Source organism: Homo sapiens, chromosome 12, assembly GCF_000001405.40.
Source record: "Homo sapiens chromosome 12, GRCh38.p14 Primary Assembly".
Lineage (NCBI taxonomy): Eukaryota > Metazoa > Chordata > Mammalia > Primates > Hominidae > Homo > Homo sapiens.
Window position 1 is genome coordinate 28,386,217 of NC_000012.12, and position 21,224 is coordinate 28,407,440.

Consider the following 21,224-nt stretch of genomic DNA (forward strand, 5'->3'; position numbering starts at 1 on the left):
TTTATGTAATATCAGTTTTCACACAGGGATCATTACTTACCAAGTAGCTATTACATCAGCTGGTTATGTACAAGGCAGTCTAAAAAGCTGTTCATGAAGTTATAGTTCCCGTATTAAGAGACCTACAAATTTTTTAACACTTTAAAAATTATTCTTTTTTCTTTTTTCTGAGATGGAGTCTTGGTCTTGTCGCCCAGGCTGGAGTGCAGTGGCATGATCTCAGCTCACTGTAACCTCTGCCTCCCGGGTTCAAGCGATTCTCCTGCCTGAGCCTCCTGAGTAGCTGGGATTACAGGTGCACTCCACGATGCCCCACTAATTTTTGTATTTTTAGTAGAGATGGGGTTTCATCACGTTGGTCAGGCTGGTCTCGAACTGCCAACATCGTGATCCGCCCGCCTCGGCCTCCCAAAGTACTGGGATTACAGGCGTGAGCCACTCTGCCCAGCCTAAAAATTATTCTTAAAGTGTGATAGTTTTCCTCAAGTTTAGTGAATTAAATCCTCTTGGATAATACTACAAATCTCTGATAAAACTGTAGCTAAGACATAAATATGTTCAAAATCAACAAAACATTTTCTGCCCTTGATAGCATTCTTTTATATATAGAATATGTTGGTATGTATCTTGGCATTTCTATCTGTATATACTGTGAGAGTCTTAATGCTTTATGGGTGTTTAGAATAGTTGAAAATAGATTAGAAATGAAATTATTCTTTCATATATCTTTTTTTAATGTTGTAGAAGCTCAAGGAAGCCTCTTTGTCTTGGGTATCTGTAGAGACAGTTACAGAAGAAGACAATCAGCAAATGTTAAGATTATATTATGAGATGTGAGAAACGTAAAGGAATCTCTGTGTATTATGATATATTAAACTGGAAGATAAATATTCAGTTATACAATAATAGAGCAACTTATAAAGGCATGTGGCTAGTATCAATGTGTATTTGTATATCCACAGTGCTTAATCTAATAGTAGGGACAGTTTTGGAAATTACCTTATTTGCTTGGACTGTGGCACTAGTAATCACACAATGTTGAGCCATAGGACCAATGCTTAAACTCCTTGTTGTTATACAAGTTCTTTTAATACCCGACACCTGCCTTCTTGCCTAATCATTTAGCTCCACTCTTAACTCCAGCTTCTGTACTCCAGCTATTAGTTTTGTTTTTAATTTTTTAGTTCCATAGGATTTTGGGGAAACAAGTGGTATTTGGTTACAAGAGTAAGTTCTTTCGTGGTGATTTGTGAGATTTTGGTGCATCCATCATCTGAGCAGTATGCACTGAACCCAATTTGTAGACTTTTATCCCTCACCCCCTTCCTACCCTTTCCCCCAAGTCCCCAAAATCCACTGTGTCATTCTTATGCCTTTGCAGCCTCATAGCTTAGCTCCCACTTATAGATGAGAACATGTGATGTTTGGTTTTCCATTTCTGAGTTTCTTCACTTAGAACAATAGTCTTCAGTCCCATCCAGGTTTCTGTGAATGCCATTAATTCATTCCTTTTTATGGCTGAGTACTATTCCATCATATATTTATACCGCAGTTTCTTTATCCACTCGTTGATTGATGGGCATTTGGGCTGGTTCCACATTTTTGCAATTGTGAATTGTTCCGCTATAAACGTGTGTTCAAGTATCTTTTTCGTATAATGACTTCTTTTCCTCTGGGTACATACCCAGTAGTGGTATTGCTGGATCAGATGGTATTTCCACTTTTAGTTTTTTAAGGAATCTCCACGCTGTTTTCCATAGTGGTTGTACTAGTTTACATTCCCACCAGCAGTGTAAAACTGTTCTCTTTTCACCATATCCCTTCCAGCATCTATTATTTTTTGATTACGGCCATTCTTGCAGGAGTAAGATGGTATTGCATTGTGGTTTGATTTGCATTTCCCTGATCATTAGTGATGTTGAACATTTTTTTCATATGTTTGTTGCCATTTGTATACCTTCTTTTGAGAATTGTCTATTCATGTCCTTAGCCTACTTTTTGATGGGATTGTTTATTTTTTTCTTGCTGTTGTAAGTCCTAGCCAGAGCAATCAGACAATAGAAAGAAAAAGGGCATCCAAATTGGTAAAGAGAAAGTCAAACTGTTGCTGTTTGCTGATGATATGATTGTATACCTAGTAAACCCTAAAGACTCCTCCAAAAAGCTCCTAGAACTGATAAATTAATTCAGCAGAGTTTCAGGATTCAAAGTTAATGTACACAGATCAGTAGCTCTGTCATACGCCAACAGCAACCAAACTGAGAATCAAATCAAGAACTCAACCCCTTTTACAATAGCTGCAAAAACATAAAATACTTAGGAATATACCTAACCAAAGCGTCAAAAGACTTCTACAAGGAAAACTAGAAAACACTGCTGAAAGAAATCATAGATGACACAAATGGAAATACATCCCATGCTCGTGGAAGGGTAGAATCAATATTGTGAAAATGACCATACTGCCAACAGCAGCCTACAAATTCAACCCAATTTCCATCAAAATACCACCTTTGGAGAAAGCAAACAAAAACAAGTGGGGAAAGGACACCCTTTTCAACAAATGGTGCTGGGATAATTGGCAAGCCACATCTAGGAGATTGAAACTGAATCCTCATCTCTCACCTTATACAAAAATCAGCTGAAGATGGATCAAGGACTTAAATCTAAGACCTGAAACTATAAAAATTCTGAAAGATAACATTGAAGAAACCCTTCTAGGCATTGGCTTAGGCAAGGATTTCATGAGTAAGAACCCAAAAGCAAATGCAATAAAAACAAAGATAAATAGGTGGGACTTAAACTACGGAGCTTTTGCATGGCAAAAGGAACAGTCAGCAGAGTAAACAGACGACCCACAGAGTGGGAGAAAATCTTCACCATCTGATTCAAAGGACTAATATCCGGAATCGACAAGGAACAGCTATTCTTATCTACTGAATGTTCTTTGTGTATAGTGGTGAGTCTAACAGGTCACCAGGGTTGGGGCAACTTTCTTTCTCTGATACCCATCCTGCATATACCTACAGTGTGTGATGATCAAGGGAATGATTGTCTTCAACTTCAGACTGGGCGCAATGTGGAAGACTTTTAAAAAAAAATCCTTATATACCTACCTTTGTGGGCCTTTTGTTGATCCATGGATTTAAATGACTGAATGGGGCTAAAATGAGACATTTGAAATATATAAGAGGCCAGTTACTCTTGCATAACTTTCCTTTATGCTCCCTTATCACATCTTTGGCTCTTATTTTACTCATTATCCTCCTTGACATTTCAAGGAGAATGAGTATATAGTGTACAAATCAACCCCTAGAGGAAGACTACCTTATTCAAATTGTACTTCTTAATTATGGAGAGAGAATATTATTTTATTTTATTAACTTACCTGTCCTCCAAAGGATATAATATACTAAAAATTGCAGTTGAATATTGAGTATTTAAATATTGAATATTTAAATTGTGGGATTATTTGGAACCATGGCAAATAGGGAAGTGAACACAGTTCTTTCTGTTAAGCAAAATGATTCTATAATACCCTAAGTCCCTAAATAGAATGACATTTTTTTCTCTTTACAAAAGATGCTGTGATTATTCTAAGGGAATTTTTTATAACTATATTATTTTTTAACTTTTCTGAAATCCCAACAAATGGTATGTTTCCACACAGGTAAGTTAGATTTATATCATCTAGTCACATTTTAAAAGGATTAAGCTTTTGTGCCTTACATAAATTAATCATTGTGGAATCTTTGGAAGACACTGTAAATCAAGGGTTAAAGCAATTCTAGTAAGCATTTTCCTTATATTTTGATAAAACTCAGAGCTTTATTTTCCTTTACTAATGTGCTAGTAATTTGCAGCTTCATAGTGACGAATACTGAATTGTAGGAGTAGTAGCATCATCAGAGAATCTTACTTTTGCACAAGAAAGTTAGTTTGAAAATTTGAGACTTATTTAGAAGTTTTAAAAATATTTTTGTCTCAGCTTTTAAAAATACATGCCTATTTATCCAGCATCTTAATACATGGTGTTTTCAACCAAGTAAATCTGTATTCATAACAGAGATTAAGAGATTTGGCTGATTTTTTTTTTCTTGGTGAATATGCCAACGGTCTGTTTTCTATAAGACATGTCTGTTTCAACTTATTATTTTGGTTATGAGTAGTTTAAACAGACATCTAAAAATAGAATATTTGCTAGAGTTCTTATAGAATGATTTAGAGTTTATAAATAGCATGAAAGATATTACTGAGAACTTGTTGATATAACATACAAAGCTAAACAGAGAGAAAGAAAAAAGATGATAATATTCTAAGCATCTCTAATAAGGAAGTGAGTGGGTGAAACATCATCAAATGCTGATTTGGTTTTCCTTGAAACAGTGGTAATATCTTTATATTTATCTGACTTGAGTTCCAGCATTTACAGTATCCAATTAAGTATGCTCAGCCTCCCAAGTTTTATTACTTTTTATGCGTACTGCCTTGAGACTCTTGACTTACCTACTTTGACTTATACCTTTTCACATTAGGAGCGTGAACTTCCTGGGGGGCAGTTCTTTAATGTTTGAAGTTGCTCAGAGTTTCCATCTGCTTTTACTTGACTTGTGGTCTTGAAGATCATGCTTGGCCCATGGGATATTACAGTGTGCCGAGAGGATGTGGAGTTTTGTCAGCCAGTGAAATATGTCTGGCCTTTTTTTCCTTTTTTCTTTTTCTTTCTTTTTTTTTTTTTTTCAGCAGCTTTCATACACTCTTCATCCTGTGTGGTCTTCACTGAACCAAATTTATATTTAACAGAACTACTCACCCTCTCTATCATCTTCTGTGACTTGGCCTTTTTAAGGAGAAGATGTGTGGAAGGAACGTCTGAGCCAAAAAATTGTTATCTTGGCAATAGGAAAATGTAAAAGCAAAAGCTGAAAGTAATGTTATATATAAATGTGCTTCAGTATTAACAAATACATATTTTGTAATTTAGGAGAATATCGTATTACAGTATGTACAACTGTCAAAAATATTCTCGTGCCAACAGTAGATTCCCAAGTTTTGTCTGTGATCCAAATGACTTTTTTGCTTGTTTTCAGGCACTACTGCAGTCTTCAGTTAAGCAACAAGTAGAAGCTATTGAAAAACAGTACATTTCTGCAATTGAGAAACAGGCACACAAGTGTGAGGAGTTGCTAAATGCTCAGGTAATAAAAGTGCACATCCATTATATATTTATACTTTTCCCCTGACTCTCTCCCCTGAGAGCTCTATAACTGTTTATTCAGTTCTGTTCCATTTACTTGGTGTATTTTGGAGAAAAAATGTGCTTATGTAAACTCAAAGATTGAGAATTTTATGACAGACTCAAAATAGAACGTAAGACCTGAAATATGTGGGTCTCCCCCACATTAATGATTATTCTTGTGTTAATTTATGGGTTATAATATATTCTCCAAATAACAGAAGCAAAGAGATATCTATGAATGCATTATGGCGAGTAAATGATTTTTAGTGAGATAAGATTTATAAATAACATTTGAATTTTTAAAGCACCTATGTATGTTTATGTTACCTTTCATTCTGTACAGGCATTGGCTTCTATTTGAGTTTTTCTATTCAAATTTTTTTCTTTTCTTGATTTAATATCTTAGCTTAAATTATTCACTGCTTTACATTAAACAAAGCAGCTGAAGATTTATAGATGTGTCATAGCATAAATAATGTATGTAAGAATTTCCTAGTAATATTTCTCAAAGATATAAAATTTGGAATGTGAAAATTAAATTGACTTCATATAGAGCATCTGTGTTATATCATTGGAAGAAAATTTACTGAGAATTAAGAAATAAAATTAGGAGTAGAATTTAAATGGAGATTATAAATATACCACCTTATTCTCAAGATTGGGGTCAGTTCTATTAAGTATTTTTCAATGTCATTTTAATAAGTGGCTTGGAAGAGGAAATACACAGAGAAATACACAAATACAATTATACTGTTTTAGGTAGTGAAATACCAGGCTGCCAGAGATATGAAATATAAAACTTTATGAATGGATAGAAACAGCATGAGGCATATATTAGCCGGAATGGACTTGGTTGTGCCCTAAACTCTCTGGCTTCAAATAGCAAAAGTTTATATTTTACTCATGCTACATACTCATTGAGGTCTGTCTTGGGGCCCTGTCTCATGTTGTCCTCACCCTGGGAACTCTACTGATATTGTAATTGCGACGTGGAACATTACCTGATACAATTTCGAAGTGAAAGAGAGCCGTGTTAGATTTGTATCTGTAATTAAATACTCTGGCCTGGAAATGACACATTCGATTTCAATTTATATCCACATGGTTCCACCCAATCACAATGGGGCCAGAGAGTGAGAGCCTACTATGAACTTAGAAGGGAGAGAACTGGAAATACTTAGTGAATAGCACAAATATACCACATTCTTTTCTTTTGTTCACCAAATAGTCAAAGTCTCTATCTCACAGGCAAATTAACCTATCTTGTCCTCCTGGGAGAAAATCTAAAAGTTCCATTCAGCCATGGCCTCAAGCTCAAAAGTCCAGGAACTCTGGGAAAATAGGAGGGGAATAGTGTGCTGTATTCTCTCCATTATCAGGTCCAGATGTGGTCCCTTTTGACCTGAAGAAGTAGAACTAAAATCTAAATTGTTTATTCCCAACATGCCTAGTATACAGTGGTGAGACAAAGGTAGGGTATTTACTGTAAACATTTTCAATAGGAAAGGTGAAAAATTAGAGACACACAGCTATCATTAGTATGTAACAACTTTAAAATCTCACTGGATAGATTAAATAAGAGCCTCTGCCCACGAGTAGGGATTGCTCTTTCATTTCCCATGATTATCTTTTCAGAGTTTTTTTTGACAGCGTTCCTAGTCTGTTGCTCTTTGGGGTCTTGTAGGTTTTTTATTTTTCAGTATCTTTGTTTACTATATTTCAAATGGATTTTGAAGATTATACCATTTCTGAACCTGCTTCCTGTCTACAAAATATTGGGAGCCCAGGGGTCGTTTTAAGTAGCAAATAGTTACAGTTAAGGGTAATGATTCCTTTGGTATCTTGTCCTTTATAGTAGTCAGCTCTGTTAAGGCCGTATCCACAGTTGTTTTAGAGAACTACTTTGTATTTTTTTTTCTTTTTGAAATTTTTTTTTTTTTTACTAGCCTGCCTTTGTAAAGTTAGAGAACCGCTTTCTAAATTTAATATGTTTATATGCTTTGAACCTCATATTTGTCTGTCTGTCTCTCCTATTTTATTGCAGAGATATGTTCATTTTATCAAACTAGGGTGGAAGAAATCTTGTCTCTTTTCCCTAAACCATATAGCCTAAAACAGCCATAGCTTTATTTTATCTGTGCTTGGAGGCACTTTATTGAGTTTTTAATAGTGAGTGTGGCTAACATACTTAGTTTACTACTTGCTGCAAGGCCAAATGTAGTTGGTATTTGTTGCTGAAAGCCTTCTCAGTTGTTTCTTAAGTGGTTGTGCATGCAAGTCTTCAGATTTCTGTACTTTTCTATTTCCTGTGATTTGATGCTTGAGAATTTTCTTTTTTCTATGAATTCGGTGTTGAGCTTGTCTTTTTCTTATAATGCCTTCTCAAAAGTGGCCTATTATGGAGTTATTAAAAGGATTCAGCCAAGTTACAGATTAAAAGATTAACACATGAAAATCAGTGTGTTTCTACACACCAGAAATGACAAATTGGAAAGGAAGTTAAGAAAGCAGTTTCATTTACAATAGTATCTACGTTTAACCAAGGTGATAAGAAACTTGTATTCTACAAGCTACAAAACATTGCTGAAAGAAATTTAAAATGACGTAACGAAATGGAAAGATATCCCCTGTTTGTTGATTGGATATACTTGGTGAAGAACACCCCAGGACGTTTATAGGATTATAAGCGGTTCAGTATGATGCTTTTTAAGTGCTACTTAAAAAGCAAAGATTAGTCGTTGCAGTGGCTCACGCCTGTAATCCCAGCACTTTGGGAGGCCACGGCGGGCCGATCACAAGGTCAGAAGATTGAGACCATCCTGGCTAACAGGGTGAAACCCCGTCTCTACTAAAAATACAAAAAATTAGCCGGGTGTGGTGGCGGGCACCTGTAGTCTCAGCTACTCCGGAGGCTAAGGCAGGAGAATGGCGTGAACCTGGGAGGTGGAGCTTGCAGTGACCCGAGATCATGCCACTGCACTCCAGCCTGGGCGACAGAGAGTCTGTCTCAAAAAAACAAACAAACAAAAAAAAAACAAAGATTAAAGGGAGATTTGATTAGTATGTATTAATAACATCATGTAACATATAGAAATGGTGACTCCACATTTGTTTTTCAAATTATATTTCTTAAGATGCCATTTGAAATGAAATTAGTACCTTCAGTTTAACAACAGCAGAAATGTCTTTGAGAAAAGCGCAAATCTAATAGCTGGATGGTTCCTTAGGAATCATTTGGTTCAACCTTTTCTGTTTCTTGCTCTCTCTCTCTCTCTCTCTCCCCCTTTTTCAGATTAAGAATTTCAGTTAATTCTAAAGCAGAATAATTAGAAGCCTGCACTCTAGAGTCAGACTATATGAATTGATCCCTGGCTTTGTCACTTAGGGCAAGTCTCTTAATCTCTCTGTGCCTCATTTTTTTCCTCTATGGATGAGATACACAAGTAATTACTACCTCATAGTACTATTATATGTATTATATGACATCAGATGTGCAATAGTGCTTAGATTAGAGCTTGACATATTCTGGGTGTTTATTGGCTGCATTATCTTTGTAATTCTTAGCTAAGACTGTTTGTATAGCTAGTATCAGAACCAGGGCTGGGATTCAGGTTTTCTAATTTCTAGTCTTTAGAAGAAAAGTTTGTTACTGGTATTTCATATGTTGTCTTGTCAAAGAACCTTTACTTTTTACAAAATTTACTTTGGTGTCACTGTTGTATATGAATACTAGACCAACCTTTTCTTCCTCTGTACTGTTTCAACTTACACTTTTGACACCAGATGTGTGGGAGTTTTCTGCATCAACAACCAGTTCTCCAACTGCCTGGACACCAAATCGGTGTTCTACAATTCAATTCCATTCTGACACTAACTCATCAAAGTTAACGTTCGACTTCACAAGTTTAACAGCTCAGTCCCAGAAGACTGACCTCACTTCAGATGCCAGTTGCAAGTATTAGGTCCCCAGGGTACCCACACTTTCCTCTGACTTGACTACAGTGTTATGAGTTTCCACAACTGGTCTCCCCTTCCAGTTTGATAATTTGCTAGAATGGCTCACAGAACTCGGGGAAACATTTTACTTACGTTTCTTGGTTTGTCATAAAGGATACAACTCAGGAATGGACAGATGGAAGAAATACATAGGACAAGTTATGGGGAAGGAAGGAGCCTGGTACAGAGATCCTAAAATCTTGGAATTTTCAGGGTGATAAGAGTATCTGTGGTAGCTTCGAGATCAGCATGGGGGCTATCATCAGAAAAACCGAGGCATGAATAAAGGGTTGAAACTTTCAGCCTCATCCCTCCAGCATCCAATGGCTTAATAAGTTACACCTATATAATGAAACTCCTAAATGAAGGAGTTCAGAAAGCTTCTGGGTTGCTGAATACATAGAAGTGCTGTGCTTTATGACACTGTACAAAGACCAGTGTATTTCTTAGTGTATCACAGTCCCTCTCTCCTCTTTATTTAATGAGGGACTTTTGTATGACATGGCACTCGGCTTGGTTATAGGAACGTAACAGTGAGAGAGGGAGTGAGACATAGTTCTTCTAGTAAGCAGTAGAACAGATGATATAATTTTAAAATCATATAAGTTAGGATGGAATAAATAGTAATACAAAACTACATTCAAGGGCATAAAGTTCCATAGTATTAGGTGAAGGAAGACTTATAGGACTAATGATGAGTTCTCTCAAAGTTAAGGCATCTAAGTGAGGTCAGAACTGAGAGATTAGCATGAAAGAGGCAGATGGAATTGCATATTAAAAATCTTTCATTTGAGAAAATATAAGTGTTAAGGGTAAGACCATATGAGGGTGCTAAATGAAAAATGACTATATTTCATAGGAAGGATCATAAAGGACCTTACCTGCCACATTGTCTGAAAGAACATTGGGTGCTATTAAAAGGGATTATCTAGAGAAGTGACATTTGTTCAGATTTGCATTTTAGAAATACTACTGTGGCTAAAGTATAAAAATTGATCGGAGGGAATATTAGTAGCATGTAAAATAGTTAAACAGCTATTTTAGCTACCCAAATGAGAATGTTGGTAGCCCAAACTAAAGTGTGTGGGTAAGAATAGAGAGATTTTGATGGTTTTGAGTGATATTAAGGGAAGAGAAACCGGAGACTTTGTGGGAATACAAGAGCAGCAGTAGATGCTCATTGATAAAGGAGATTTTGTGTGTGTGTGTGTGTGTGTGTGTGTGTGTGTGTGGGCATGTGTGTGTGTGTTTGTGACACAAACACATATATTTTATATATATAAGTATGTTTTTATGTAATAGAATATATTTTTCTGTATGGGGTCCAAATTTTTGGTTTTGGCAATTCACTGAAATAGGCAACTTAAGACACGAAGCATGGTTTGGGTTGAAAATTTTTAGTTTTGGATATGTTGAGTTTATATTGCCTGTGCAAGATGCCAGAGCTGTCAGACAGTTGAATCCAGGGTGGAGAACTTACGAGAAAGCTGGTAATAGATGAATTTGAAAGTCATGTAAGTATATAGTCCTAAGTATATAGATGGTCATTGAAAGTGTATCTATGGATGAGATCAGAGAATATATAAAATGAGAAAATAATTCAACTTTGAGAGACCTTAACATATAAGGGATAGGCTAAGACAGCTCATGAAGGAAACTCTCTGGAAAGAAAGATAGTAGGAAACCCAGAAATACAGAGCATTTTGCAAAGAGAGAGTTGCTAACATTTTCAAAGTTTGCAGAATAAACAAGATAAGGACACATAAATGACCATTTCATATGGCAACAAGAAAGTATCACTAACAAGAGTAGTTTCAACAGAGTGGTGGAAGAACAAAGTAGATTACAGGATGAGAAGTAAATGAAAGGTGAAAGTAAAGAAACAGATGACAAGTCTTTGAGGAGCTTAGATGATAAAAGTAAGAGACAACACTGTAGGTAGAGGGACCTATGAAGTGGAAACATTTTTATTTGTTGGTTTCCCTTGTATTTCGGCCTAGAAGTAGAGCTCATTTAAATGTATGGGCGAGAGCCCCAGTCTAGAAAGATTAAAAAAAAAAAATTGATGGAGTGGAGTCCTAAGAAGGAAGCAATGAGTGGAGACTAACCTGTCTTAGGTAAGCAAATATTTTGAGGGGCCTATGTGTGTATGCAGTGGGGTATACATGTGTATAGATGTAAATATAATTTTAAATACTATTTGTATCTTTGATTATAGCATTTATGAATTTTTTTTGAGTTACTTTCCATCACTACTTATAAAATCCAAATTCCTATAAAGGATAAGTACAATATGCTATTTATAATTCCTTAAGTGCTATTAATAGATATATATAAAATGCTACCAATACACATAAGATAGAGACACTATCTGTATTATTATGTTGCCCTTAATCTTTTATTAAAAAAGAAAACCAAGCCTGGCTTTTGCCCATAATGCCTTGTCAAAAATAACCGATAGCAACCCACACACATTTTAAACATATTCCTGTTTATTCCCTTAGAGTTACAAGTACTTTGTTGAATTGAGTGCTAGAATATAAATTCCATGAGAGCTAGGTTATATATTTATTCTGTATTCCCCAAATCTATCAACTTTTTGGAGTGAGCTCTACATAAAATTAAATGTACTCATTCTATAGAAATATATACACTCATATATCTATCATCAACAATCAAGATATAGAACATTTCTATCAACACAAGAAGTTCTCTTATCCTTTATAATTACCTTCCTTCTATAAACTCTGGATCCTGACAACCCACTAATCTATAGTCTGTCTATTGATTTGTTTCATTTTTTCTGTTATTTCATATAGAATGAATTATATGGTATCTATTCTTGTATGTCTAGGTGCTTCTTGTGTGTCTAGATTTTTTTGAGATTCATCCATATAGTCACATGTATTAATAATTTATACCCTTTGATTGCTAAGTAGTATTCTATTGTATGGAAACGTAGCATTTTGTTTATTCATTCACTTATTAAATATTTAGATTGCTTAAATTTGGGGCTGCTTTAAATGTTTGCATATAAACTGTGTGGGGATATATATGTTTTTATTTTTGTTTGTAAATATCTAGGTAAGGAATTGCTGTGTCATATGGTAAGTATATGTTTAACTTTAAAACCAACTGCCAAAATTTTTTCCAAAGTTTTATTATATTTGACATTCTCACTATCAATGTATGAGAATTCTCTTTGATCTGCTCTCTCAGCACTTGGTATTGTCCATCTTTTTCACTTTAGCCAGCTTTGGGGGAATGGGGTGTGGTATTTCATCTCATTGCACTTATTTGGCTGTTGAAGGTTAACATCTTTTCATGTGCTTTTTATTTGTACATTTTCTTTGTAAAGTGTATATTCAAATCTTTTTGCTTATTTTATTATGTTGTCTACTTTCGTAAATATTCATGAGTTTTTCATAAATTCCAGATACAAATCCTTTGACAGATATGTGCACTACAAATATTTTTTCATAGTTTCTGTCTTCCTTTTCACTTCTTGGATGGTATCATTAGACAAACAAAGCTTTTTAATTTTTATTTCAAATTTATCATTGTTATTAGTCAGCTCTCACACTACTATGAAGAAATACCCAAGATTGGGTAATTTATAAAGAAAAGAGATTTAACTGACAGTTCTGCATGGCTGGGGAGGTTTATTAGTCTGTTTTCACCCTGCTAATAAAGACATTCCTGAGTCTGGGTAATTTATAAATGAAAGAGGTTTAATTGACTCACATTTCAGGAAACTTACAATCATAGCAGAAGGGGAAGCAAACATGTCCTTCTTCACATGACAGCAGCAAGGAGAAATACCGAGCAAAGGGGGAAAAGCCCCTTTAAAACCATCAGATCTTGTGAGAACTCAACTATCATGAGAACAGCATGAGGGTAACTGCCACCATGATTTCCTCCCACTGGGTTTCTCCTGCAACACTTGGGGATTATGGGAACCAAAATTCAAGATGAGATTTGGGTAGAGACACAGCCAAACCATATCATTTCACCCTGACCACTCCCAAATCTCTTGACTTCACATTTCAAAACCCAATCATGCCCTTCTAACAGTCCTGCAAAGTCATAACTCATTCCAGCATTAACTCAAGAGTCCAAGTCCAAAGCCTCATTTGAGACAAGGCAGATCCCTTCTGCCTATGAGCCTGTAGAATCAAAAGCAAGTTAGTTACTTCCTAGATACAATGGAGATACAGACATTGGATAGATGCACTTATTCCAAATGGGAGAAATTGGCAAAAATAAAGGGGCTACAGGCCCCATGCAAGCCAGAAATCCAATAGGGCAGTCATTAAACCTTAAAATTCCATAATGATCTTTGACTCCATGTCTCACATCCAGCTCACACTGATGCAAAAGGTGGGCTCCAAAGGCCTTGGGAAGCTCTACTCCTATGGCTTTGCAGGGTACAGGCCTCCTCCTGGCTGCTTTCATGGGCAGGCATTGAGTGTGGCTTTTCCAGGCGCACAGTGTAAGCTGTTGGTGGAACTACTATTTTGGGGCCTGGAGGATGGTAGCCCTCTTCTCACAGTTCTACTAGGCAGTACCTCAGAGGGGACTGTGTGTGGGGGCTCTGACCCCACAGTTTCCTTCCTCACTGCCCTAGCAGAGGTTCTCCATCATGGGTCCACCCCTGCAGCAAACTTCTCTGCCTGGACATCCAGGCATTTCCATACATCCTCTGAAATCTAGGTGGAAGTTCCCAAACCTCGATTCTTGATTTCTGTGCACCTGCATGCTCAATACCACATGCCAAGGCTTGGGGCTTGCACCTTCTGAAGCAATAGCATGAGCTGTACGTTGGCCCCTTTTAGTCATGGCTGGAGCTGAAGCAGCTGGGATGCAGGGCACCATGTCCTGAGGTCTCTCCACACCCCCACCCCCACCCCCACCCTAGGACTGGCCCAGGAAACTATTTTTCCCCCCTAGGCCTCCAGGTCTGTGATGAGAGGGACTGCTGTGAAGACCTCTGACATGCCCTGGAGATATTTTCCCCATTGTCTTGGCAAGTAACATTTGGCTCCTTGTTACTTATGCAAATTTCTGCTGCAGGCTTGAATTTCTCCTTAGAAAATGGGTTTTTCTTTTCTGTCACATTGTCAGACTGCAAATTTTCCCAACTTTTATGCTCTACTTCCCTTTTAAACATAAGTTTCAATTCCAAACCATATCTTTGTGAATATATAAAACTGAATGCTTTTAACAGCACCCAAGTCACCACTTGAATGCTTTGCTGCTTAGAAATTTCTTCCACTAGATATGCTAAATCATCTCTCTCAAATTCAAAGTTCCACAAATCTCTAGGGCAGGGACAAAATGCCGCCAGTCTCTTTGCATAGCAAGAGTGACCTTTGCCCCAGTTCCCAACAAGTTCATCATCTCCATCTGAGACCACCTTAGCCTGGACTTATTGTCCATATCACTATCAGCATTTTGGTCAAAGCCATTAAGTAAGTCTCTCAGAAGTTCCAAACTTTCCCACATCTTCCTGGCTCCTGAGTCCTCTAAGCCTTTAGGAAGTTCCAAACTTTCCCACATTTTCCTATCTTCCTCTGAGCTCTCCAAATGGTTCCAATCTCTGCCTGTTACTCAGTTCCAAAGTCACTTCCACATTTTCGGGTATCTTTACAGCAGTACCCACTCTCTGTGGTACCAATTTACAGTATTAGTTCGTTTCATGCTGCTAATACAGACATACCCAAGACTGGGTAATTTATAAAGGAAAGAGGTTTAATTGACTCACAGTTCAGCACGATTGCGGAGGCCTCAGGAAACTAACAATCATGGTGGAAGGGGAAACAAACATGTCCTTCCTCACATGACAGCAACAAGGAGAAGTGCCAAGAAAAAGTGGGAAAAGCCCCTTATAAAACCATCAGTTCTAATGAGAACTCCCTATCACAAGAACAGTATAAGGATAACTGCCCCCATGATTAAATTACCTCCCATAAGGTACCTCCCACGACATGTGGGGATTATGGGAACTACAATTCAAGATAAGATTTGGGTGGGGACACCATATCAGGAGGCCTCAGGAAACTTAAAATCATGGCAGAGGAGCTGCTTCACAGGGCAACAGGAAAGAGAATAAGTGCTGAGGGAAGAGGGAAGCCTCTTATAAAACCATCAGATCTGGTGAGAACTCACTATCAGGAGAACAGCATGGGGGAAATTGCCCCCATGATTCAGTTATCTCCACCTGGTCCTGCCTTTGACACACAGGGCTTATTACAATTCAAGATGAGATTTGGTGAGGACACAGAGCCAAACTATATCAATCATGTTTTCTATTATAGATTGTGTTTTTAATGTTGTATGTAAGAAATCTTTGCCTAACCATATGTCACAAAGATTTTTTCTTGTATCAAAAGAAGTTTTGTATGTTTTCCTAGGTTAAGTTTGTGATTCTTAATTATGATTAATTTTTGAGGTAATTTGGAGATACAGTGTGATGAGACAGTCAACGTTCTTCTCTCTGCCAGTCTATTCCAATACCATTTATAGAAAAGACTATCGATTACCCCCATACCTTTGGAGAAAGTCTTACAACTATATGAAATGCAGATTTCTGGACTCTGAATTTTGTTCCATTGATCTAGTATTTCTCAGCATTGGCATTATTGACATTAGGGGTTGAATTTTTTTGTGTTGTGGGGGATTCCCCTGTGCGTTACATGATACTTAACAGCATCCGTCACGTCTACCCCTAGATGCCATGGCACACGCTCAGTTGTGATAACCAGAAATATCGCTAGATATTGCTGACACTTTGACAATATTGAGTTTTCTTATCTATGAACGTTGACTGTCTTTATTTTTGAATAGTTCTTTGATTTCTTTCATCAGAGTTTTGTAGTTTTCCTCTTATAGATCTTGTACATATTTTGTTAGATTTAAAGCTAAATGTTTCAATTAGAAGGATGCTAAATGTTAATGTGTTTTAAATTTCATCTTCCACTTGTTCACTGTGATATATAAGAAAGTATTTGACTTTTTTGTATATTATCCTTGTATTCTACAAGTTTGCTGAATCACTTATTAGTTCCAGGAATTTTTTTTTTTTTTTTTTTTTTTTGTCTACTCTTTGGATTTTCTACACAGACAATCATGTCATCTGCAAAAAAAAAAAAAAATTATTTCTTTCTTCTCAATCCATATACCTTTTATTTCCTTTTTTTGTATTACTGCATTAGCTAGGATTTCAGTGCAATGTTGAAAAGCAGTTGCGAGAAAGGGAATACTTGCCTTATTCCTGATTTTATTGGAAAAGCTTCTAGTTTTTCACCATTAAATATGATCTTGGCTGTAGAATTTTTATTGTTATTCTTTATCAAGTTGAGGAAGTTCTCTTCTACTCCTAGTTTGCTGAGAGTTTTTAATCATGAACGTGTGTTGGATTTTTGTAAAGTGCTTTGACCATTTTATTGATATGATTATGCTATTTTTCTTTAGCTTGTTGATATGGTGGGTTACATTAAATGATTTTTAAAAGTTGAACCAGATTTGCATACCTTGGCATAAATGCCACATCGTTGTCATGTATGATTCTTTTGCTATGCTGCTGGATTCAATTTGTTAATATTAAGGATTTTTGGTGTCTCACAAAATGTTTATGATTATTGATCTATAGTTTTCTTTTCCTGTGATGTATTTGTCTGGTTTTGACATTAGGGTAATGCTGGCTTTATGGAATGAATCAGGAAGTATTCTCTCTGTTTCTATCTTCTGGAAGAGATTGTACAGTATTGTTATAATTATTTAATTAGATGTTTTGTTGGAATTCACCAGCAAAGTTATCTGGGCCAGGTGCTTTCTGTTTGGAAGGTTGTTGTCTTAGCCTCTTTGGGGTGCTGTAACAAAATACTATAAACTGGTGGCTTGTAAACAATAGAAATTTACTTCTTACAGTTCTAGAGACTAAGAAGTCCAAGATCAAGGTACCTGCAGATTTGGTGTCTGTTGAGGGCCTGCTTTCTAGATGGCTGTCTTTTTACTCTAATTTCATGTGGCAGAAGAGATAAGGGATGTCTCTGGGGTCTTATCCCTTCTACCATGACCCCATATCTCTGGGGTCTCTTTAATAAGGGTACTAATCACCTAACTTTCATGACTTAATACTTCCCAAATGCCCCCCCTCCTAATACCATGAACTTGGTGGCTAGGATTTCAACATATGAATTTGGAGACACAAACATTCCAACTATAGCAGTTATTAATTATTGATTTAATGTATTTAATAGATATAGGCCTACTCAGATTGTCTGTTTCTTCTTGTGTGTTTCAGCAAATAATCTTTTAAAGACTTGGTCCATTTAATGGAAGTTATCAAATTTGTAGGCATACAGTTGTCCGTAGTATTCTTTTATTTTTCTTTTAATGTTCATGGGATCTGTAGTGATATCCCTTATTTCATTTCTGACATTAGTAATTTGTGTTCATTTCTTCTTTTTTCTTGGCTAGTCTGCTAGAGCCTTATCAGTTTTTACTGATCTTTTCAAACAACCAGCTTTTGGTTTTATTGATTTTTCCATTTCTTGTTTTTAATTTCATTGATTTCTGCTTCTCTTATTTTTAGTATTTTTATGTTATTTTAGATTTAATTTACTCTTGTTTACTTATTTCCAAAGGTGGAAACTTAGATTGTTAATTTTAGATCTTTCTTCTCTTCTAATACATGAATTCAATATTTTAAATTTTCCTCTAAGCACCTCTTTCGGTGTGTCTATAAATTTTGATAAGTTGTGTTTTATTAAAAATATTTTCAATATCTTTTGAGATTTTTCTTGTTGTTTAGTAATGTGTTATTTAATCTGTAAATATTGTTGGATTTTCTAGCTATTCTCCTATTATTGATTTTCTAGTTTAATTCCACCGTGGTCTGAAAGCAGACCACATTTTGTGATTTCTACTCTTTTAAATTTCTTGAGTTTTGTTTTATGGTCCCGAATTTGGTCTATGTTAGAAAATGTTACATGTGAGTTTGAAAAGAATGCATATTCTGCTATTGCTGGTTGCAGTATATAGACTTCCTTTATATTGAGTTGATCTTGGTGTTGTTGAGTTCAGCTACATCCTTTCTGATTTTTTGCCTGCTAGATCTATTTCTGAGAAGTGGGGGCAATTGAAGTCTCCAACTTTAATAATGAATTATTTTATTTTTCCTTGCAGTTTTGTAAGTGTTTGCCTCATGCATTTTGCTGCTCTGTTATTAGGGACATACATACTAAGTATTGCCATGTTTTCTTGGAGAATCAACACTTTTATTATTATATAATGCCCTTCTTTATCCTTAATAACTTTCTTTGCTCTGAAGTCTTCTGAAATTAATATAGCTACATGTGTTTCTTTTCATCAGTGTTACCATAATACCTCTGTCTTTATCCACTTACTTTTAATATAAATGTGTCTTTATATTCAAAGTGGATTTCTCATAGACAGCATACTGGAGGGTCTTGTTTTTTGCTCTATTATATTTCTGTCTTTTAATTGGTGTTTTTAGACCATTGACATTTACAATAGACCATTGACATTTACAATGATTATTGATAGAGTTGGATTCATTTCCACCATATTTGTTATTCTTTTCTATTTGTTGCTCTTTTTTTTGGTTTCTATTTTTGTCTTTCATACTTTTTCTACCTTTTCTGGTTCAAATTGAAAATTTTATGATTTAATTTTCTCTCCTGTCTTAGCCTATTAGTTATAATTTTTTTTCTTACTTTTTAAGTGGTTGCCCTAAAGTTCACACTATACATTTACTAGTAACCCATATTCATTTTCAAATGATGTTATGCCATTTCACAGGTACTGTGAGTACCTTACAATACTAAAGTATTCCAAGTTTTTTTATCCTGGTGCTTATATCATTGATGTCATTCATTTTACTTACACAGAAGTATACATACTCATATATATTGTTGCTATTGTTATTTTAAAGAAACCATTATATGTTGCATCAGTTAAGAAAAAGAAAAAGTTTTAATTCACTTATTCCTTCTCAGATGCTTTTTCCATGTTTATGTAGTTTCAAGCGTCTGACCTATATAACTTTTCTTTTCTCTAAAGCTCTACTTTTTCTTTGGCCAGATCAAAAATGTTTCTTTTTATTCTGGTGAACACAAGATGATACATAAATTAGCCTCAGCTTAAAGGTACTCACTGAAATTTGAAAATGCTGAATAATTCTCTTCAAAGCATCCATCCCTTTCAGGGCTTCTATTTTTCAACATGTGACATCAGAATAAAGTTCTGTATTTTGGTTTTGTTGGCTGGAAAAGTGACTTCTTTGGTAGTGGTAGAAAAGCCAAGGTTTGTGACTTGAAGGCAGATTGTGATGCTATAAGCAAATTTTGGATTTTTTGAATACTTTTTGTCCTATATATTTAGATAACAGATATGAGATATGTAGATAAATAAACATATGCAAGCACATATAGTTATAATGTCTATGTAATGTCCATTCAGTAGTATGTTTTGTAAAAAAAATCTGCAAAATAAGAGTATGTCAGCAGTAACTACCCTATGCATCCCCCTTACGAATGGTGAATCCAATCAGGTAATTAGCTCATTCCAGGTGATTCCCATCAGCCAGCTAGCTCAGCCCAGGTGACATTATTTTTTCCTCAATTTTTAAGTTCCAGGGTACATGTGCAGGATGTGCAGGTTTGTTACATAGGTAAGCGTGTGCATGGTGATGGTTTGCTGCACAGATCAACCCATCACCTAGGTATTAAGCCCAGCATCCATTAGCTATTCTTCATGGTGGAAATCTCTACTTTTAACATTTCTTGCGAGCCTGTTCTTCCAATAAAAAAAAAAAAAAAATCCCTCAATTTTTGAGAAAGTCGTTATTAGTGTACAAGTCTTTGTATGGACTCATGCTTTTATTTTTCTTGGATAAGTTATTAGCAGTAGAGACCTAGCTAGGTCGTATGATCAAATACCTAGCTAGGTTGTATGGTAAAGTATATGTAAAATGTGTTTTCACAATTTTGCTCATTTGTTGTTTTCTTATGATTGAGTTATGAGAGTTCTTGATATATTCTAGATATAAACCCTTCATCAGTATGTGATTTGCAATTGTTTTTATCACAGTCTGTGGCTTGTCTTTTTATTTTCCTGATATGTTTCTAAGAGCAGAAGTTTTAAGGTTATATGAAATCCAACTCATCAATTTTTCTTCTGTGGTTATAATTTGGGTGTCTTATCCAAGAAACCATTGCCTAACTCAATATCAAAAGAGGTTTTTCCTATGTTCTATTAAAGTTTTATAGTTTTAATTCATAGTTTATGAATCATTCATTTTGAGTTGATTTTTATATATGGTATCAGATTTTAACTATTTTTTTTTGAATATCAATACCCAACTCTTCCAGTCTTATTTGCTGAAAAGCCTATTCTTTTACCAGTGGATTTCTTTTGTACATGACATGGTTTGGATCTTTGTGCCCACACAAATCTCATGTTGAATTTAAATTCCCAGTGTTGGAGTTGGGGCCTGGTGGGAAGTCATTGAATCATGGAGGCAGTTTTCTCATGAATGATTTAGTACCATCCCCTTGGTTCTATCCTCATGACAGTAAGTTCTCCCAAGAAGTGATTGTTTAAACGTGTGCCACCTCCCACCCCGTGTCTTGCTCCTGCTTTTACGATGTGATGTGCTTGCTCCCCCTTTGCTTTTCAACATGATTGGAAGCTTCCTGAGGCCTACTCCCCAAAAGGAGATGCTTCTGTGTTTTCTGTACAGCCTGAAGAACAGCGAGCCCATTAAACCACTTTTCTTATACATTATCTAGTCTCGGGTATTTCTTTATAGCAATGCAAGAATGGAATAATACAGTACGTTTGTCAAAAATCAATCGACCATATATATGTGGATCTATCACTTGATTCTCTATTCTCTTTCATGTATCTATTTGTCAAACTTTACTCCATTATGATACTGCTTTATTTAGCATGGATATTTAGTCAG

At 35.7% G+C, this 21,224-nt stretch overlaps 1 protein-coding gene across 37 annotated transcripts in view; it reads left to right on the forward strand.

The window, feature by feature from the left end:
* The window catches only part of CCDC91 (coiled-coil domain containing 91), a 359,711-nt gene that overhangs the window by 195,761 nt on the left and 142,726 nt on the right, over positions 1-21,224 (forward strand). For 31 of the 37 annotated variants that reach the window (NM_001352086.2, NM_001352079.2, XM_047429083.1 and 28 more), the window contains one exon: positions 5,088-5,195. The exons of the other annotated variants lie outside the window; for them this stretch is intronic. In NM_001352086.2, the coding sequence (NP_001339015.1) occupies positions 5,088-5,195 (108 nt within the window). The remainder of the gene's footprint in view (positions 1-5,087; positions 5,196-21,224) is intronic. 37 annotated transcript variants of the gene reach the window in all.